This window comes from Homo sapiens, chromosome 4 (genome assembly GCF_000001405.40).
Source record: "Homo sapiens chromosome 4, GRCh38.p14 Primary Assembly".
Lineage (NCBI taxonomy): Eukaryota > Metazoa > Chordata > Mammalia > Primates > Hominidae > Homo > Homo sapiens.
In genome coordinates this window covers 22250298-22271413 of record NC_000004.12, presented here as the reverse complement: position 1 = coordinate 22271413, position 21116 = coordinate 22250298, and the positions used below count along the sequence as shown (strand labels likewise).

Genomic DNA, 21116 nt, shown 5'->3' with positions numbered 1-21116 from the left:
TTCATTTTGACCCAATGAACATTTAGGAGCAGCTTATTTGATTTCCATGTATTTGTATGGTTTTAAAGCTTCCCTTTGGAGTTGATTTCCAGATTTATTCCACTGTGGTCTGAAAGAGTGCTAGATATAATTTCAATTTTCTTAAAATTATTGAGGTTTATTTTATGGGCTATCATATGGCCTATCTTGGAGAAAGTTCCATGCACTGTTGAGTAGAATGTGTATTCTGTGGTTGTTGGATGAAATGTTCTGTATATATCTATTAAGTCCATTTGTTCCAAGACATAGTTTAAATCCATTGTTTCTTTGTCAACTTTCTGTCTTGATGACCTGTCTAGTTCTGTTAGTGGAGTATTGAAGTCCCCCACTATTATTGTGTTGCTGTCTATCTCATTTCTTAAGTCTATTAGTAATTGTTTTATAAATTTGGGATCTCCAGTGTTAGGTGCATATATTTTAGGATTGTGATATTTTCCTATCGGACAAGACCTTTTACCATTACATAATGTCCCTCTTTGTCTCTTTTAACTGCTGTTGCTTTACAGTTTGTTTTGTCTGATATAAGAATAGCTGCCCCTGCTAGCTTTTGCTGTCCATTTGCATGAAATGTCTTTTTCCACCCTTTTACTTTAAATTTATGTGAGTCCTTATATGTTAGGTCTCCTGAAGGCTGCAGATAGTTGGTTGGTGAGTTCTTATCCATTCTGCAGTTCTGTGTGTTTTAAGTGGAGCATCTAGGCCATTTACATTCAGTGTTAGTATTGAGATGTGCGGTGCCATTCCATTCATCATGCTATTTGTTGCCTGTGTACCTTGGGTTTTTTGTTTTTGCTTTTTAAATTGCATTTTTGTTTTATAGGTCCTGTGTGATTTATGCTTTAAAGAGGTTCTGTTTTGATGTGTTTCCAGGATTTGTTTCAATATTTAGAGCTTCTTTCAGCAGTTCTTACAGTGGTGGTATGGTAGTGGCGAATTCTCTAATCATTTGTTCTCTTGAAAAAGACTGTATCTTTCTTCATATATGATGCTCATGATGCTTAGTTTCACTGGATACAAAATTCTTGGCTGATAATTGTTTTGTTTGAGGAGGCTGAAGATAGGGCCCAAATCCCCTCTAGCTTGTAGGGTTTCTGCTGAGAAATCGCCTGTTAATCTGATAGGTTTTTCTTTATAGGTTACCTGGTACTTTTGCCTCACAGCTCTTAAGATTCTTTCTTTCACTTTAACTTTAGATAACCTGACGACAATGTGCCTAGGTGATGACCTTTTTGTGATGAACTTCCCAGGTGTTCTTTGTGCTTCATGTATTTAGATATCTAGGTCTCCAGCAAGGCTGGGGAAGTTTTCCTCAATTATCCCCTCAAATATGTTTTCCAAATTTTAGATTTCTCTTCTTCCTAATGAATACTGATTATTCTTAGGTTTGGTCATTTAACATAATCCCAGACTTCTTAGAGACTTTCTTCATATTTTCTTACTCTTTTTTCTTTGTCTTTGTTGAATTGGGTTAATTCAAAGACCTGTCTTCAAGCTCTGAATTTCTTTCTTCCAGTTGTTCAATTCTATTCCTGAGACTTTCCAGAGCATTTCACATTTCTATAAGTATATCCAAAGTTTCCTGAAGTTTTGATTGTTTTTTTATTTATGCTATCTATTTTCTTGAATATTTCTCCCTTCATTTCTTGTATCATTTTTTGGATTTCATTGCATTGGGCTTTGCCTTTCTCTGGTGCTTTCCTGATTAGCTTAATAATTATCTCCTGAATTGTTTTTCAGGTAAATCAGAAATTTCTTCTTTGTTTGGATTCATTGCTGGTGAGCTAATGTGATTTTGGCGGGGGATTGTTAAAGAGCCTTATTTTGACATATTACCAGGGTTGGTTTTCTGGTTCCTTCTCATTTGGGTAGGCTCTGTCAGAGGGAAGGTCTAGGGCTGAAGGCTGTTGTTCAGATTCTTTTATCCCACAGGGTGTTCCATTGATGTAGTACTCCCCTCTTTTTCCTATGGATGTGGCTTCCTGAAAGCCAGACTGCAGTGATTGTTGTCTCCCTTCTAGGTCTAGCCTCCCAGTAAATCTACCAGGCTCCAGGCTCGTACTGGGGGTTGTCTTCACAGGGTCCTGTGATGTGAACTGTCTGTGGGTCTCTCAGCTGTGGATACCAACACCTGTTCTGGTGAAGGTGGAAGGGCAGTAAAATGGACTCTGCGAGGGTTCTTGGCTTTGGTAGTTTAATGTTCTATTTTTGTGCTGGTTGGTCTCCTGCTGGGAGGTGGCACTTTCCAGAGAGCATCAGCTGTGGTAGTATGGAGAGGAGCTGGTGGTGGGTGGAGCCCTGGAACTCCCAAGAGTATATGCCCTTTGTCTTCAGCTACCAGGGTGGGTAGGGAAGGACCATCAGGTGGGGGCAGGAATAGGCATGTCTGACCTCAGACTCTCCTTGGGCAGGCCTTGCTGTGGCTGCTGTCGGGGATAGAAGTGAGGTTCCCAGGTCAATGGATTGTGTACTTAGGATGATTGTGGCTGCCTCTGCTGAGTCATGCAGGTTGTCAGGGAAGTGGGGGAAAGCGAGCAGTCGCAGGCTTCACCCAACTCCCACACAATCTGAAGGGCTGGTCTCACTCCCATTGTGCCACCCCCAACAGCACTGTCTATTTCCAGGCAGTGGGTGAGCAGGGCTTAAGAACTTGTCCCAGGCTGCCCGCCTCCCAGCCGTGAGATAAAAGGGCTCTGGTTCTTCCCCCACCTGTGGAGTCTGCATGCTAGATTTACACCCTCCCCTGAGTTCTGGCCAGGAGGCCTCTCACCTGGTTCAAATTGTTACAACGTTCAGCTGGAGACCTCCTACTCCCTGTGGTTATCTCCCCGCACCTCTGGCCACCCTCCCGAAAGGATCCCTGTGGTGCCAGGCAGGAATGGCCTGCCTGGGGACCCAGCAAGCTCCCAGGGCCCTTCCCACTGCCTCCTCCACCCCTGCATTTCACTCAGCTCTCTAAGTTGACTCAGCTCCAGGTAAGGTCAGAAACTTCTCCGGCAAACTAGACCTTCAGTTTCCCCACACCCCGTGGGAGTGTATGTTCGGGAGTGGAGAATATCCCATTTCCACTTCTGTAGTTTGGGCACTTGCAGTATTTGGGGTGTCTCCCAGGTCCTGCAGGAGGAATATAAGCTTCCTTCAGAGGGTCTGTAGGTCCTCTTGGGATTCCTGGTTTGTTCTTGCAGTCGTTCTGGAGCAAGCCTTCACATGCTGCTCTGTCCGTCCAAGTCGGAGCTGTAATCTACTCCTGCTTCGGGTCCGCCATGATCATTTTTGACTGTTTTTTTGATAATAGCTATGCTAACCGGCATGAGGTGATATTTTATTGGGATTTTAATTTGCATTTCTCTGATGATTAGAGAAATGTTGAGCACTTTTTTCATTTGTCTGTTGGCTATTCATATCTTTCTTTGAGAAATGTCTGCTCAGATTCTTTGCCCATTTTTAAATTGGGTTATTTGTTATATTGCTATTGAGTTGCTTGAGTTCCTTATATATTTTATATATTATACCTTTATCATATGTATGGTTTGCAAACATTTTCTTCCAATCTCCTGTGGGTTGTCTCTTCACACTGTTAATTGTTTCCCTTGCTGTGCAGAAACTTTTTAGTTTGATGCAGTTTCATTTGTCTGTTTTTACTTTTGTTGCCTGTGGAGCTGTTGAAGTCTTATCTTAGAAATAATTTCCCAGACAGTATCATGGAGTTTTCTCCTATGCTTTCTTTTAGTAGCTTTATAGTTTTTGGTCTTATGTTTACATTTCTCTTCATTTTTAGTTGATTTTTAAGTATGATGTGAGATAATGGTGTAATCTCATTCTTTTGCGTATGGATACCCAGTTTTCTCAACACCAATTGTTAAAGAGATTGTCCTTCCCTCATTGTTTGTTCTTGGAAACTTTGTTGAAAATTAGTTGAGATAATTGCTATTTCTAACACCATTTTGCTAATCAGGAAACGTGCTTATTGTCTTATTTATCATTGTACATTGCATGACATATGTTAGGAACATAAATATTTGTTGAATGGCTACAAAGTTGAAACAAATAGAAATTGATAAAGTCAGCTGGCAGGGCTTGGTTATTCATATCCAGAATTGACTTAGAGTAATAGTCAGTTTTCTGTTGCTATAACAGAATGCCTGAGACTGGGTAATTGATAAAGAATAAAAGTTTGGCTCATGGTTCTGGAGGCTGAAATTCCAAGGGCATGGCGGCAGCTCTGGTAAGGGCTTCATGCCACATCATACATGGTGGAGAAGCAGAAAGGGGAATTGGCATGTGCAACAGGAGCAAAACATGAGGGGCAGCCTCACTTTATAATAACCCACCCCAGCCATAACTAATCCAGACCCTTAAGAGGGAGAACTCACTTTCTTGAGAATTAGCCCAGTCCCATAACAGTGGTATTAATCCCTTCATGAAGATGAAGCCCTTATGACACAAATATTTCTTAAAGGTCCCACCACTTCTCAACACAGTTACATTGGGAATCAAATTTCAACATGAATTTCAGAGGGGAAAAACCATATTCAAAACACAGCAGTAATTTTTAAAAATATTATTGAAATGGGAAGACAACACTGAAAATTTTTTATAGATCTCACAATGTCTAAGAATGTATACATGGACTTTCATGGTATAGGACCACTAAATTATATGATCAGTGGTTCTCTACTAGAAGTATGCATTGGAACCAACTGGGGAACTTTAGGAAACTATAACTGCCTGCTCCCAGATTCACTGAATTAGAATTCTTTGAGAAGGGTCAAGGCATGTGAGTTTTGAACTCTAGACTAAAACTTCAGACTAAACCTAGAGGTAGAAAAAAAAAACTTTACTGCCTTGGGGGTCAGGGTGATCATAACTTGCTAGGCAGACAGTGAAGTAGCCATTGAAACCAGCATGGACTTCAGAAGTCATTTGGCCAGGGTTCAAATCCTGGCTCCAATGTTATGAAATAAATGTTTATGTCTTTTGAAATTCATATATTAAAGTCTAATCCCTAATGCTACTTGGAGATGAAGCCTTAAGGAGGTAATGAGAACATGAGAGTGGAGCCCTCATGAATGGGATTAGTGATTGCATACAAGGCCAGAGAGCTAGCTTGCTCTTTTCCTACCATGGAAGAATACCACAAAAAGTAGAAAATCTGCAACTCAGAAGAGGGCCCTTACCAGAAAGTAGCTATGCTGGTACCCTGATCTGAGACTTCTAGCCTCCAGAATGGTAAGAAATAAATCTTTGTTGTTTACAAGCCACTCAGTCTATAGTACGTTGTTGTAGCATCCTGGATGAACTATAACAGGGGTAGAGGAAGGAACCTTACGGCCTTGGGGTCAGGGCAAACATAGCTCATTCCTGCTATGTGGGGACTGGGGTAGCACATTGGAACCATCGTGGACTTTGGAAGTCATTCAGATCAGGATTCAAATCCAAACTCTAGCCTTGCTTTTGGTGTAAATAACTTAAACTCTCAGAGCCCAAGATTCCTCAAATGTAGAATGAATATAAAATTTTCTGTTTTATAATGTCATTCTGAAGATTAAAGAAAATTAAATAATGTTTGATACAGCATCTGGCTTAAAAGTAAGTCCTCAATACATTAAAACTACTCTAAAAAAAAAAAACCCAAGGGAAAGGAAGGGAATGGAGGGGATAGCTTTTTTGTTTTGTGTAAGTATATTAAAACTAGTCTTTTTTTGTTTTAATTTATTTTTTTGTAGAGACTGGTCTTCACCATGTATGTTGCCCAGGCTAGTCTCGAACTCCTGGGCTCAAGCCATCTGCCTGCCTTGGCTTCCCAAAGTGCTGGGATTACAGGCATGAGCCATCGTACATGGCCAAAACCAGTCTTTGGAATATCTGAAAGAACTCCTTGAGCCAGAATTTGCTACTCTAAGCACACCAGAGCTTTTCAGATGTACTAAAGCCCACTATGACCCTTGGTATCAAAGTTTTTAGCTGTAGAATCACCTTCTTGGTCATGATTAATAAAATCTGAGATCTCACAAGAAGTCAGGAATGATTTCTTTCTAACCCAGAGATTCTTGAGGCTGCTGCGAAGTAGCAGTGACCAGTATCTCCCACTCAGTTACAAAGGACCAAAGGTGATTTTAGCTACAGTGCAAGGGAATAAATTGCAGCCAACTTTTAATTTGGTCCAAACTGAATACTTTGAGAAAAATTATCAGGTATTGTTTAATTATCTCAACTCATCCTAATATCCTAGCAAAGGAAAATGGTCACCCACTAAGTAGATTTAAGTGGAGGACCTACTGGAAACTAAGAATAGTTCTCCATCATATGGATGACCTGGCAGGGATTCTACCCTCAAAGACACTGTCATTTCCAAATCCTGCAGAAAATCTGACATTGTCGGCCCTCGCTCAGTAGATGCAAAGGTGATTAGCATTCATTTTGAATCACTTATTCTTTCTGTTGTTCACCGGGCACAGTTTAAGTGGAAATAATTTGCATAACTGAATGTTCTTGTCTTCTGTGTTGTGCTGAGAGCTTCTTGTGAGTTACTCCATAAGGTGAATTAACTTAATGGATTCAGTATGTATCAAAAATTAACAGATGTTTGATGAAGTCTAAATTTATTTTGCTTTGTTTAAAGATGTGATTTAAGCTCATCTGTCTTCAAAACACTCCCAAATGATTCAAATAAATAGTTAACCACTGAGCATGTTACCAAGGTAAGGCTCTACCCAAAGAAAATATGTATGCCAAATCGTATTTTAATTTTTCAAGGAAACAGATGATTTTCATTGTTTAAGGTATCTACTACTTCTAAGAGGAGGCTAGAGCCTATGCTTTGCTGAGTTTTTCTGTAGCCTCTGGAAAATTGAGGAAACGAATTTGCCAGCAAGAGCGGTGTTCTATATTAGGAAACGTGCACATTGGCAGATGGTCAAGGGAGTGCTACCTGAGGGTAGAGAGCCATTTAGTACCATTCAAATTTAAATCTCTAATTTTAGCTGAACACGAGAGTGGAGCGATAAACCCATTTGTCGCATTTATGCTTGGCTGAAGTCAGAGGAAATGCAATATTGGTATTATCTACTCTCATAGTTATGGACATGCCTATTTGCAAATGGGTCATTGTTTAAATGCATTTATATAGTAATGAAAGCATAACTTCCAACTGAATCACTTAATGGAGATAATAATACCACTTGTCAAACAACTACTGCAGAGTATTTACCATGTGATAAGTGGAATTTGGGAACAGGATTCTATAATCAAGGACACTCTTTCACAACATGACATACATCTACATTGGCTACACAGGGCTAGAAGATACACGCAGAGCAGTTTTAGGTTGATAAAAATAAATCATCCAGGTTTCTTTGAAAACACATTTCTATTAGGTATTCTATAAAAACTTCTGAAGCATGCAGTTTAAAAACTGAATACCCATTTACTCTCTCCCGGAACCTAAACTGAAACATTTTCTCGGCTGTTTTTTAGTGATTAGTTTATTAGTGATTCAGTTACTATAGTTAGTATGGTGGGGCAAAGAAATTTAACATGTTAGATTACAACTAACAGTTTAATTCCTATTTCAGAAATACAAATATTGTTGGAGGTGAAAGGAATCTTAGAAGATGCTCTAGTTCAACTCCTTCATTTGACAGATAAAGAAAAACTAACTTGCTTAAGGTCAAACCACTAATTAATGGCAGAATCAGAAGACAGGTCTGGGTGAGCCCAGATTAATTAGGACAATTAAAATTAACAGCAGAACAAGCCCTATCAATAATTTTCCTGACAATACTTCATTGTATCCGTTTTCTTTTTGCTCACTCTAAATTTATTGAAAAACAAAATTACAAATAGATCACTGCTGTGTCCATTGCAAAATCATGTATAATTACATAAAGAAATTAACTAGAATTTCTAAATTAGTAAGGATTTCTGGAGAAACATACAAAAACATTTGTGAAGTCATATGGTTTCCTGATATTGCATTTCATGGACCTCCTAATAGCTTTTCGTCTGAAGGTCAGCTCAGCACTGCTGAACAACCTCTGCAGGGAGCAAGAAATTATCTGAAGATTGGAAGGTTTGTATTGCTTTATGGATCCTTGATAGGCATAAATTAAGAATTTGGGCTTTGAGCTCCTTGCGTGTGTGTGCGTGTGTTTGCAGGTATTTCTTCCTCTCTTCAAGAGTGAATACACTAAATCTCTAGCCAAAGCCATGATGATACTCTTGGAATTTCAGGGCATTTAGATTCGAGTTCCTACAATAACCCTGTACTCCCACCTCCTGCCAATAATACCCTTGATTTAGATTTTTTTCTTTATGTGAATATTCTTATTTTATCCCACACTTAGCACACATTTGGGGTGCATGTGTACATCTTTTACTTCATATATGATTTTTTTTTTCCTGTGAGACTGAATGAAGAAGGATTAAAGGCTTTAATTGAAGATGGGAGTTATCTTGGATTCTCTAGATGCTTCTCTTTCTGTTACTCTTCAAATTTCATCTATCGACAAACGTAACCTTTTTTGTCTTTTATATATTTTTATTTTTATTTTATTTTACTTTAAGTTCTGGGATACATGTGCAGAATGTACAAGTTTGTGACATACGTATACATGTGTCATGGTGGTTTGTTGCACCTATCAACCAATCATCTAGATTTTAAGCCCCACATGCATTAGGTATTTGTCTTAATGCTCTCCCTCCCCTTGTCCCTCACCCCCACGACAGGCCCGTGTGTGATGTTCCCCTCCTTGTGTTCATGTGTTTTCATTGTTCAACTCCCACTTATGAGTGAGAACATGCAGTGTTTGGTTTTCTCTTCCTGTGTTAGTTTGCTGAGGATGGTGGTTTCCAGCTTCATCCATGTCCCTGAAAAGGACATGAACTCTTTCATTTTTAAGGCTGTATAGTATTCCATGGTGTATATGTGCCACATTTTCTTTATCCAGTCTATCATTGATGGGCATTTGGGTTGGTTCCAAGTCTTTGCTATTGTAAATAGTGCTGCAATAAACATATGTGTGCCTGTGTCTTTATAGTAGAATGATTTATAATCCTTTGGGTATAAACCCAGTAATGGGATGGCTGGGTCAAATGGTATTTCTAGTTCTAGATCCTTGAGAAATTGCCACACTGTCTTCCACAATGGTTGAACTAATTTACACCTCCCCCAACAGTGTAAAAGTGTTCCTATTTCTGTACATCCTCTCCAGCATCTGTTGTTTCCTGACTTTTTAATAATCACCATTCTAACTGGTGTGAGATGGTATCTCATTGTGGTTTTGATTTGCATTTCTATAATGACTAGTGATAATGAGCTTTCTTTCATATGTTTGTTGGCTGTGTAAATGTCTTCTTTTGAGACGTGTCTGTTCATATCCTTTGCTCACTTTTTGATGGAGTTGTTTGTATTTTTCTTGTAAATTTGTATAAGTTCCTTGTAGATTCTGAATATTAGCCCTTTGTCAGATGGACAGATTGTAAAAATTTTCTTCCATTCTGTAGGTTGCCCATTCACCAGGATGATCATTTCTTTTGCTGTGCAGAAGCTCTTTAATTAGATCCCAGTTGTCAATTTTGGCTTTTGTTGCAATTGCTTTTGGTGTTTTACTCACGAAGTCTTTGTCCATGCCTACATCCTGAATGATATTGCCTCCATTTTCTTCTAGGGTTTTTATGGTTTTAGGTTTCACATTTAATTCTTTAACCCATCTTGAGTTAATTTTTGTGTAAGTTGTGAGGAAGGGGTCCAATTTTCTGCCAGTTTTCCCAGCACCATTTCTTAAATAGGGAATTCTCTCCCTGTTGTTTTTGTCAGTTTTGTGGAAGATCAGATTGTTGTAGACTTGTGGCATTATTTCTGAGATCTCTGTTCTGTTCCGTTGGTCTATATATCTGTTTTGGCACCAGTACCATGCTGTTTAGGTTACTGTAGCCTTGTAGTATAGTTTGAAGTCAGGTAGCATGAGGCTTCCAGCTTTGTTCTTTTTACTTAGGATTGTCTTGGCTATTCAGGTTCTTTTTTGGTTCCATGTGAAATTTGAAGTAGTTTTTCATAATTCTATGAAGAAAGTCAATGGTAGCTTGATGGGAATAGCATTAAATCTATAAATTATTTTGGGCAGTATCTCCATTTTCACAATACTGATTCTTCCTATCTATGAGCATGGAATGTTTTTCCATTTGTTTGTGTCCTCCCTTATTTCCTTGAGCGGTGGTTTATAGTTCTCCCTGAAGAGGTCCTTCATGTCCCTTGTAAGTTGTATTCCTAGGTATTTTATTCTCTTTGTAGCAATTGTGAATGGGAGTTCACTCATGATTTGGCTTTCTGCTTGTGTCTTATTGGTATATAGGAATGTTTGTGATTTTTTGCACATTGATTTTGTATCCTGAGAATTTGCTGAAGTTGCTTAATAGCTTAAGGAGTTTTTGGGCTGAGACGACGGGGTTTTCTAAATATACAATAATGTCATCTGCAAACAGAGACAATTTGACTTCCTCTCTTCCTATATGAATACCATTTATTTCTTTCTCTTGCCTGATTGCCCTGGCCAGAACTTCCAATACTATGTTGAATAGGAGTGGCGAGAGAGGGCATTTTTGTCTTGTGCCAGTTTTCACAGGGAATTGTTCCAGCTTTTGTGCATTCGGTATGATATTGTGTATGGGTTTGTCATAAATAGCTCTTATTATTTTGAGATATGTTCTATCAATACCAGTTTATTGAGAGTTTTTAGCATGAAGCAATGTTGAATTTTATCAAAGGCCTTTTCTGCATCTATTGAGATAGTCGTGTGGTTTTTGTCAGTGGTTTTGTTTATGAGATGGATTATGTATATTGATTTGCATATGTTAAACCAGACTTGCGTCCCAGGGATGAAGCTGACTTGATCCTGGTGGATAAACTTTTTGATGTGCTGCTGGATTTGGTTTGCCAGGATTTTGTTGAGGATTTTCATCAGGGATATTGGCCTAAAATTTGTCGTTGTTGTTGTTCTGTCTCTGCCAGGTTTTGGTATCAGGATGATGCTGGCCTCATGAAATGAGTTAGGGAGGTGTCCCTCTATTTCTATTGTTAGGAGTAGTTTCAGTGGGAATGGTACCAGCTCCTCTTTGTACCTCTGGTAGAATTCCGCTGTGCATCTGTCTGGTCCAGGGCTTTTTTGGCTGGTAGGCTATTAATTACTGCCTCAATTTCAGAACTTGTTATTGGTCTATTCAGGGTTTTATATGTGTTCTATATTTCTTAAGCCCATCTCCCTTTTCTATCCCTATCATCATTGTAATAATTCCTTGTCATTGTTCTTCCATCTCTATCATTATTGTCAACAACTCCCTATCATTGCTGCAATGGTGTTCTATCTTTACTCCCTACATGGCATAAGGCCTTTCTTTCATCCTGTGATTCCTTCTATCTCTCCTCTCTTTTTTCCAGAGAGTGCTTATTCTACACTATTGGTCTGTGCACACTGAACCATGGTTCTCCATACACACTCCATTAATTTTACCTCTGTGCCTTCATTCATACTCTCACAATGCCTGAAGTGCCATGGCCTTACTTCATTGCCTGCGTAACGCCAACTTGTGATTTTTTTGAAGGCACAGGATACTTTATTTATTCACTGAACAGACATTCATATAGCACTATTATATACTAAGCATCATTCTAAAATAAGAGTTTGTAAACTATGACCCATGGATCAGATCTGGTCCATTGCTTATTATTTTTCTGTAGCTTTATTGAGATAAAACATGTGTATCATGAATTTTATCCTATCAAGTACAATGAAAATGTTTTCATATATTGAGAGTTGTGCAAACATAACCACTTGTCTAATTTTAGGGCATTTCTACTGCCCCCTCGAGAAAATCCATTTCTCAACCGGGCACAGTGGCTCACACCTGTAATGCCAGCAGTTTGAGAGGCAGAGGCAGGCAGATCATGCGGTCAGGAGATCGAGATCATCTGGCTAACATGGTGAAACCCTGTCTCTACTAAAAATACAAAAATTAGCCGGGTGTGGTGGTGGGTGCCTGTAGTCTGAGCTACTTGGGAGGCTGAGGCAGGAGAATGGTGTGAACCTGGGAGGCAGAGCTTGCAGTGAGCCGAGATTGTGCCACTGCACTCCAGCCTGGGTGACAGAGCAAGACTCCGTCTCAAAAAAAAAAAAAAAAGAAAGAAAGAAAGAAAGAAAGAAAAGAAAATCCATTTTTCATCATTCCATTGCCCTCTCCCTGAGACCCTCCACTTTCTGTCTCTATGAATTTGTCTATTCTGGATATTTTATATAAATGTAATTATACATGCGGTCTTTTGTGACTGGATTTTTTCATGTAGCATAATATTTTAAAGGTTCATTTGTGTTGTAGTATGTATCAGTGCTTCATTCCTTTTTAGTGCAAAAAAAATTCCATTGTATGAACACACAGCATTTTATTTATTCTTTCATCAGTTGATAAACATTGAATTGCTTTTGCTTTTTGGCTATTATAAATAATGTTGCTATATAAATATTTTTATACAACGTTTTATGGGGATATATGTTTTCATTTCTTATATATCTAGAAGATAAATTTTTGGATCATATGGCACCTCCATGGTTAACTTTTTATGGAACTGCCAAGCTGTTTTCCACAGTGGTTGTACCATTTCGCATTTCTACCAGGGTTCAAATTTTTCTGCGTCCCAGTCGATATTTGTTATTGTCCATTATTTATTTTATATATTCCAGTGAAAGTGAAGTAATATCTCATTTTGATTTTGATTCACATTTTCCTAGTGATTAATAATGTTGAGCATTTTTGATGTAACCACTGGCTTTTGTATATCTTCTTTGAGGAAGTATACACTCAATTGATTTGTCCATTTTTAATTGAGTTATTTGACTTTCTACAGTTGAGTTTTAAGAGATTCCCCCATTCAATGGATTGTCTGCTACTTTCTTGAATCTGAATTAGATTTTACACTTTTTCTTGACTCAATTCTGGTAGTTTCTGTCTTTCTATAAATGTCTCTGTTTTACCCAGGTTACCTAGTTTGTCAGATACAATTTTTCATGGTGTTCTTTTTTTTTTTTTTTTTTTGAGATGGAGTCTCGCTCTGTCACCCAGGCTGGAGTGCAGTGGTGTGATCTGGGCTCACTACAAACTCCACCTCCCAGGTTCACGCCATTCTCCTGCCTCAGCCTTCGGAGTAGGTGGGACTACAGGCGCCTGCCATCACGCCCGGCTAATTTTTTGTATTTTTAGTACAGACAGGGTTTCACCGTGTTGGCCAGGATGGTCTTGATCTCCTGACCTCATGATCCACCTGCCTCGGCCTCTCAAAGTGCTGGGATTACAGGCGTGAGCCACCACGCCTGGCCCATGGTGTTCTCTTTTAATCCTTTTTATTTCTGCAAGACGGGTAATGATGTCTAACTTTTATTGCTCATTTTTGCAATTTGAATCTTCTTTTTCTTTTCTTAGTCTAATTAATGTTGTTGGCCTTTTTAAAGAAACAACTTCTGGTTTTATTGATTTTCTGTATTACTTGTCTATTCTTGATTTCAGTTATTTAACGTTTATTTTTTCTTTATTCTGCTTGCTTTGAATTTAGTTTGCTTTTTTATTTTTATTATTTGTTAAGGTGGAATGTTAGGGTATTGATTTGAAATCTTTCATTTTATATTGATGTTTATAAATCTCTCAAAATCTCTGGAATACAGCAAAAGCAGTGCTAAGAGTGAAGTTTCTAGAGATAAATGCCTATATCAAAAAGATAGAAAGATCACAAATTGACAACCTTATATCATACCTCAAGGAACTAGAAAAATAAGAAGAAACCAAACCCAAAGCTATCAAAAAGAAAAATAACAATCAGACCACAATTAAATAAAATTAAAACAAAAAATTAATACAAAGGATGAATGAAATTAAAAGCTGGCTCTTTGAAAAGATAACCAGATTGATAGACCACTAGCTAGGTTAACCCAAAAAAGAGAAAGTTTCAAATAAAACTCAATCAGAAATGAATGTGGAAACAGTACAACTGATAACACAGAAATACAAAAGATTGCCCACAATTACTAAGAACATCTCTGTGCACACAAACTGGAAAATCTAGAGGAAATTGATAAATTCCTGGAAAGATACAATCCTCCAAGCTTGAATCAGGAAGAAATAGGAATCTTAAACAGATCAATAATGGGTAACGAGATTGAATCAGTAATAAAAAAATCTCCCAACAACAACAAAAAAGCCAGAATTGACAGCCAAATTCTGTCAGATATTCAAAGAAGAACTTACACCAATCCTACTGAAACTGTTACAAAATATTGAAAAGGAAGGAGTCCTCGCTAATTCATTCTATGAAGCCTGTATCACTCTGATATCAAAGCCAGAAAAGGACACAACAAAGAAAGAAAAGTGCAGACCAATGTTCCTGATGAATATAGATGCAAAAATACTCAACATAATACTAGCAATCCAAATCCAACACCATATCAAAACGATAATTCAACACAATCAAGTGTGTTTCATCCAGGGATGAAAAGATGGTTCAACATACACGCATTAATAAATGTGATTACCACGTAAACAGTATTAAAAACTATATGATCATTTCAATATATGTAGAAAGAAACATTTGATAAAATTCAGCATGTTTTCATATAAAACAACTTTAACAAACTAGGCATAGAAGGAATATACCTTAAAATAATAAATGCCATATATGACAAACATATAACTAACATAATACTGAATAGAGAAAAGTTGAAAGCATTCCCCCTCAGAGCTAGAACAGACAAGGATGCCCACTTTCACTACTTCTATTCAACACCGAACTGGACATGGTAGCCAGAATAATAAGGCAAGGGAAAGAAGTAAAGGGCATCCAAATTGGAAAAGAGTAAGTCAAACTATCTCTGTTTGCTGATGATATAATCTTATACCTTGAAAACCTCAAAGTCTCCTCCAAAAGACTTCTAGATTTGATTAATGAATTCAGTAAAGTCTCAGGTTACAAAATCAACTTATACAAATCAGTAGCATTGCTATACACCAATAACAGCCAAGCTGAGAATCAAATCAAGAACTCGATCCCATTTACAATGGCTGCAAAAGATTAATCTCTAGGAATATACATAACCAAAGTGATGATGAATCTCTACAAGGAGAACTAAAAAACACTGCTGAAAGAAATCACAGTTGAAACAAACAAATGAAAAAAAATTCCATGTTCATGGATAGCACCAATCAATATTGTGAAAATGACTGTACTGCTCAAAACAATCTACAGATTCAATACAATTCCTATCAAAATACCAATGTCGTTTTTCAAAGAATAAGGAAAAAATATCCTTAAATTTATCTGAAAGCAAAATGGAGCCAAAATAGCCAAAGAAATCTTAAGCAAAAAGAACAAAGCCAGAGGCATCACACTACCCAACTTCAAATTATACTAGAAGGCTATGGTAACCAAAACAGTATGACACAGGTATAAAAGTACACACATAGACCAACGGAACAGAATAGAGAACCTAGAAATAAAGTCAAATACCTACAACCAACTGATCCTTGACAAAACACACAAAAACACATACTGGAGAAGGTACACTCTATTCCATAAATGGTGTTCATGAAAAAGAATGAAACTTGATCCCTATCTCTCATCATAGACAAAAATTAACGCAAGATAGATTAAAGTCTTAAATGTAAGACCTGAATCCATAAAAATTCTAAAAGAAAGGTTAGGAAAAACTCTTCTAGACATTGGCCTAGACAAAGAATTTATGACTAAGATCCCAAAAGCAAATGCAACAAAAAGAAAAATAAATAAATGGGACTTAATTAAATTAAAACTTTTCTGCCAGCAAAATAAATAATCCATAGAGTAAACAAACAACCTAAAGAATGAAAGAAAATATTCACAACCATATACCTTGCAAAGGACTGACATCCAGAATTTGCCAAGGATCTAAAACAAATCAGCAAGAAAGAAACAAATCCCATTATATATTAGGCAAATGACATGAACAGATATTTCTCAAAAGAAGATATATGAATGGACAACAAACATATAGTAAAATCCTCAACATCACTAATCATAAGGAAAATGCAAATTAAAACCACAGTGAGATGCCACTTTACCCAAGTCAGAATGCTATTCTTAAAAAGTCAAAAACCTATAGATGTTGGTGAAGTTGTGGTGAAAAAAGAATGCTTAAAACACAATTGATGGGAATGTAAATTAGCACAACCTCTACGGAAAACAGTATAGAGATTTCTCAAAGAACTAAAAATAGACCTACCATTTGATCAGCAGTCCCTCTACTGGGTATTCACCCAAGGAAAATAAGTCATATAAAAAGGCATCTGCACTTGTGTGTTTATTGCAGCACAATTCACAATTGCAAAGACGTGGAATCAACCTAAGTGCTCATCAGCCAATGAGAGGATTAAAAAAATGTTGTGGGTGTGTGTGTATATATGTGTATGTATGTGTGTATTCACATATATATGTACATATATTTGTGCATATATACACATATATAATCAATTGTAAGTAAAAACCACTTGTACTCATAAAGCTATTGAAATAAATATTTTTAAATGTTAGATAAATACAGCTATAAATTTATCTCTAAGCACTGCTTTAGCTGAATTTCATAAGTTTTAGTATATTGTGTTTTTGTTTTCATTCATATGAAAACGTTTTATAATTTTTCCTGTGATTTCTTCTTTGACCAATGACTATTTAAGACTGTATTATTCAATTTTCACATATTTATGAATTTCTCAATTTTTTTTCCAATTACTGATTGCTAACTTAACTCCGTTAGGATAAGATAACATTCTTTGCATAATTTCAATCCTTTTAAATTTATTGAGGTTTGCTTTACACCCTAACATACTGTCTACCTGTAGAATGTTCTATATGCGCTTGAGAAGACTGTGTATTCTGCAATTGTTGGCTGAACTGTTCCATAGATGTCTGCTAGGTCTAATTGGTTTATCACATTGTTCAAGTCTTTTATACTCCTGTTGATAATTTGCCTAGTTGTTCAATCTATTGTTAAAAGCAGAGTATTAAAGTCTCCAAATATTGTTGAGTTTTCTATTTCTCTCTTCAATTATGTTAGTTTTTGCTTGATGTATTTTCAGGCTTTTTTGTTAGGTGAATATATGTTTATAATTATTATAGCTTCCTGATTGGGTGATCCTTTTGTCCTAAAGTGTCCTTCTTTGTGTCTAGAAATAATTTTACCTTCAAAGTCTGTTTTGTCTGATATTAGTATAGAAACTTCAGCTCTTTTTGCTTATTATTTGAATGATATTCTTTTAATTTCAATGTAGTTGTGTCTTTGAATCTAAAGTGTATCTCTGGTAGACAACAAATAGTTGGATTATGTTTTTGTATTCATTTTAACAAACTCTCTCTTTTGATTCAAGTGCTTATTTAAATTTAATGTAGTTAGTGATAAGGTAGCATTTACATCAGCCATTTTGCTATTTCTTTAAAATATGATTGAATTTGCCCCTTTTCCTGTGCCCAGACCCTCTGTTCAAAGGATGAAGAATCACTTATGCCAAAATGCTATGGGTTCAATAAATGGTACTAGAAGACTAAATGCTTGGTCAAGAGTCTTGTAGGGGGTTCAGTCCTCTGACCTCCTCTGCCATGCCTTTCCTTGAGTGGGATGTCAAGCTGCTCTCTCTATCTGGAGTGATATAATGAGAGCTGATAAGCCCCTAAGTATCCTGTCTCCCTTATCTTAAATTTGTGGCTCTAAGCAGATTGCAAAGAAATTAGGACAAAGTTAAATACGTTGGAAAAGGTGCTTGAGGAGAGAATGACTTTCTTACTCTCATACCAAACTGTATACTTATCTATTCAGGAGGGTTAGTGTGGTATTTTGATGGGTATGTAGCCTTTTGAGATGCTGATAAAAGAATCTGTAATATGGCCTCTCATTATTTTGTGCAGCCTTGGCACTGAACTTGGCAATTCAGATCCTAGAGCCTGTCCTTCCTGGACAAAAATGGAAATAATATAAATTAACCCTTTCCTCCTCCAGAGAAAAATTGAAAGGCTGATGACTCAGGGTCAAGATATCTTCAAATTAATAAAGACTTCTCCCTAGCCACCTGCTATTCTACATCTCTTTAAGGAAACAGCTGCAATTTTTAGGACAAATTCGTAAGATTAGCATAGCATCCTTTTGAATTTTCTTTTAAGATAGATTAATAGTTTATAAACATAATTTTATCAAGTTGCTTAATTTCCATTTATTTTAAAATCAAATTTTCTAAAATTACATAATATTTCAAGCAGAATTCTTTATATTAAGTTTGAAATGATAATGAAACTGCTTTTGGGGATAAGGATTAAGCAAATGCTTTTTTGATTTATAATAGAAACTGATAGGAATTGGAGATTTAAAAATTCTTTCTCATTGTTAATGGTGAGTCTAGGTGAAGCAGGCCAGACCCAGTTAAATTTAGACCCGACTCTCTAATTTCTGTAAAACAGGATTAAAAATTAGAATAATCTTATGTCTGGAACATCCTGAATATTTTTATCTCTTTTTATAGGAAGATTTGATATATTTGATTGACTGGTTTTTTCTTTGTGTAGCTCAAGGCATAAAACAAAGAAATTTTAAGCAGTAAACAATCTATTTTTAGTTTATTAAGATCCAGAAATAAGACAGAGAACCAAGAGAAGAAGCAAAAAATGTAATAAGAAAAGTGAACACAGTCAATTGCAATATTTTTGTATTCTTTCCCATGAAAGATCATCATATGGTGAATTTCTCAAGTCCAGAGTTCACATTGTACCTGTGGTGTACAAATTCCAGTAATGCTGTCTCTGTCTCTAGATGTAATCTACAAGTCTTGGAACATGAAAAATTCAGGTAATCTGAGTAGTTGAACTAACTCACTAATCCATGGCATTTCATTTTTCATATAAGGTAAGGAGAAGAGATTTTTCACTTGCACAGACTGGATATCTTAGTCAGTTTGGGCTGCTTTAATAAAAATACCATAGAATGGGTGGCTTAAACAACAAACATATATTTCTCACAGTCCTAGAGACTGGGAAGTCCAAGATCTAGGTGCTAGCAGATCCGGTGTCTGGATCTGGTTTGCAGATGGCCATCTTCTCCTTTTGTTTTCACCTGGCAGAGAGCAGAGAGAGAGTAAGGGCAAGTTCTCATGTCTCTTCCTACAAGGGCACTAATCCTAATCGCGAGGGATCTACCCTCTTGACCTAATTACCTCCCCAGAGCCCCACCACCTAATACCATTGCATTGGGGATTAGGATATCAACATATGAGTTTTGGGGGCAAAAATATTTAGTCTGTAGGACAGGAGCTCATAAAGTGTGGTAGGTACAGATCAGTCCAGAGCTATGTCTTTCCTAAAACTCATACGTGCCTGGACATGAAGAAGTGTTGGAGGGAGTCTATTTGCATAAGAGACAGAAACACCTTCCTCTGAAGAATCATAATGAGGAAAAGAAGAAATGAGAAATGATAGCTTGATTCAAGAATAATGCCACAGAATCAGAGAGGAAGGAGATTTTGGAGTACAATGTCCTTTTCTCAAATATTCTCCCAGTCAAGTGCCATGGACTCCTGTCGGAGTGTTCTATGAAAAGGTTATAAGATTGAGCCAGAAGAGCCAGTTCATCAAAATTCCACTAAGAAGTGAGAGTTCCACAGCCCAGTGCTGAGACCCAAGAGCAGAGTGTAAACCTAAGGTGGCGAGAGCATGTCTTCACTTCACTATGGAAGTGAAGGTAGTCAGAACTCTCAGCTAAGACTGATGTCTTGGAATAATGATGTATACTGGGTTAAAGAAAATTAAAAGAGACTAATTTCCAAATAACACACACACGTAAAATAGCCGAACTGGTGATAAGGAAGTAAAAGCAGGAACCAAAGGTAAGAGTAGAAATTGTAAATTAGTATCTGTCACATTTGTCTTTGGCAACCATAGTTCTCATAAAGAGGTATCCTTAATTGTGGTGACAGCTTTCTGAGGTCTTGAAGATGACTAGAGAAAGGAAAAGCAAGAATAATGATGGTACAGGCCACCCCATTCCTGAAAGGGAAACACAGTGATGAACTCATAGCTCCTCTGAGAACTTCTAGGAGTCTACAGGGATTTTGAAGGGGAGCTGGAGGTCTGATAATGCTGCGTGGGTACAGAGAACACAGTGTGGAATTCTGAATGCAACCATTACTTTATTGATAGTATGATGAAGCCAGGGGAAACTATAGAACTTAAGGAAAAATATTCTTAAGGCTTTAAGAAGATTAAGTTTAAGAAGGAATAAGAACTTGAAAGAATCCTTATATTTATATTTAGAGATCACTTTCACTTATGTTTTGATGCATCCTTCATGACAGGCTGATTTTGAAGGACTTATCTTCATTGCATAAGTGCAGAAAATAGACCTCAGTTTCCCTGAGTTTCCAAGATTTTAAAGCTGAGGAGTGGGAGAGTCTGGATTAGTCCTCAGAGCTAATGAGTTAGTCTCCAAGAAGTGTTGCTCCAATGAGGCTTTAAGGTCCTAAATGCTGTCTCATTAGCAAGACGTCAGGAACCACTTGTGAAACAGGCACTTCATGGTTAGGGATGACTTTCAAAAATTGAGAGAGAAAATGAGTAATTACAAAATAAAATTCTACCTTTATGAAGTTGGGCACAATATACTTTATAAAGAATAACCAGAAGCAGGTTGGAGCAGAACTGGTGATATGGCCGTAATGTGTGGCCCCCTGAGCACAGGTAAGATGGGGCATTGCCTGGAATAGCCTGAATCAAACATCCTCTCTTGGAAACAGGATCCTTGCTCCAGACATTTGTGTGCTTTCTGGAGCCACCACAATAACATAGAGATTGAGACATTCAAAAGAATTATCAGGTCAGTATTTTCTTGTTTATGCTTTTGTTTTGGCAGCTGGCTCAGAGGAAACCTATCCAGTACCACATAGGCTGTCCAATGTCTCAGGAGTCCTTCAAAACCCTGTAAATCTCCCAGCCCCTTTCCATCTTTTGATGATATAATGAACCATGCCAAATCCTA

General features: G+C 37.2%; 2 annotated features.

Annotated features, from left to right (window-relative positions):
• Nucleotides 1911-3110: an enhancer, noted in NCBI's record as "MED14-independent group 3 enhancer chr4:22269927-22271126 (GRCh37/hg19 assembly coordinates)". NCBI's record gives its function as "activates an origin of replication core promoter dependent on BRD2, BRD4, P300/CBP and CDK7 cofactors, and independent of MED14, by STARR-seq in HCT116 cells {active_cell/tissue: HCT116}" and the evidence as "EXISTENCE:reporter gene assay evidence [ECO:0000049][PMID:35650434]".
• Nucleotides 2251-2776: an enhancer, noted in NCBI's record as "H3K27ac-H3K4me1 hESC enhancer chr4:22270261-22270786 (GRCh37/hg19 assembly coordinates)". NCBI's record gives its function as "activates a minimal SCP1, AML or CMV promoter by ChIP-STARR-seq in primed H9 embryonic stem cells {active_cell/tissue: H9 hESC(primed)}" and the evidence as "EXISTENCE:reporter gene assay evidence [ECO:0000049][PMID:30033119]".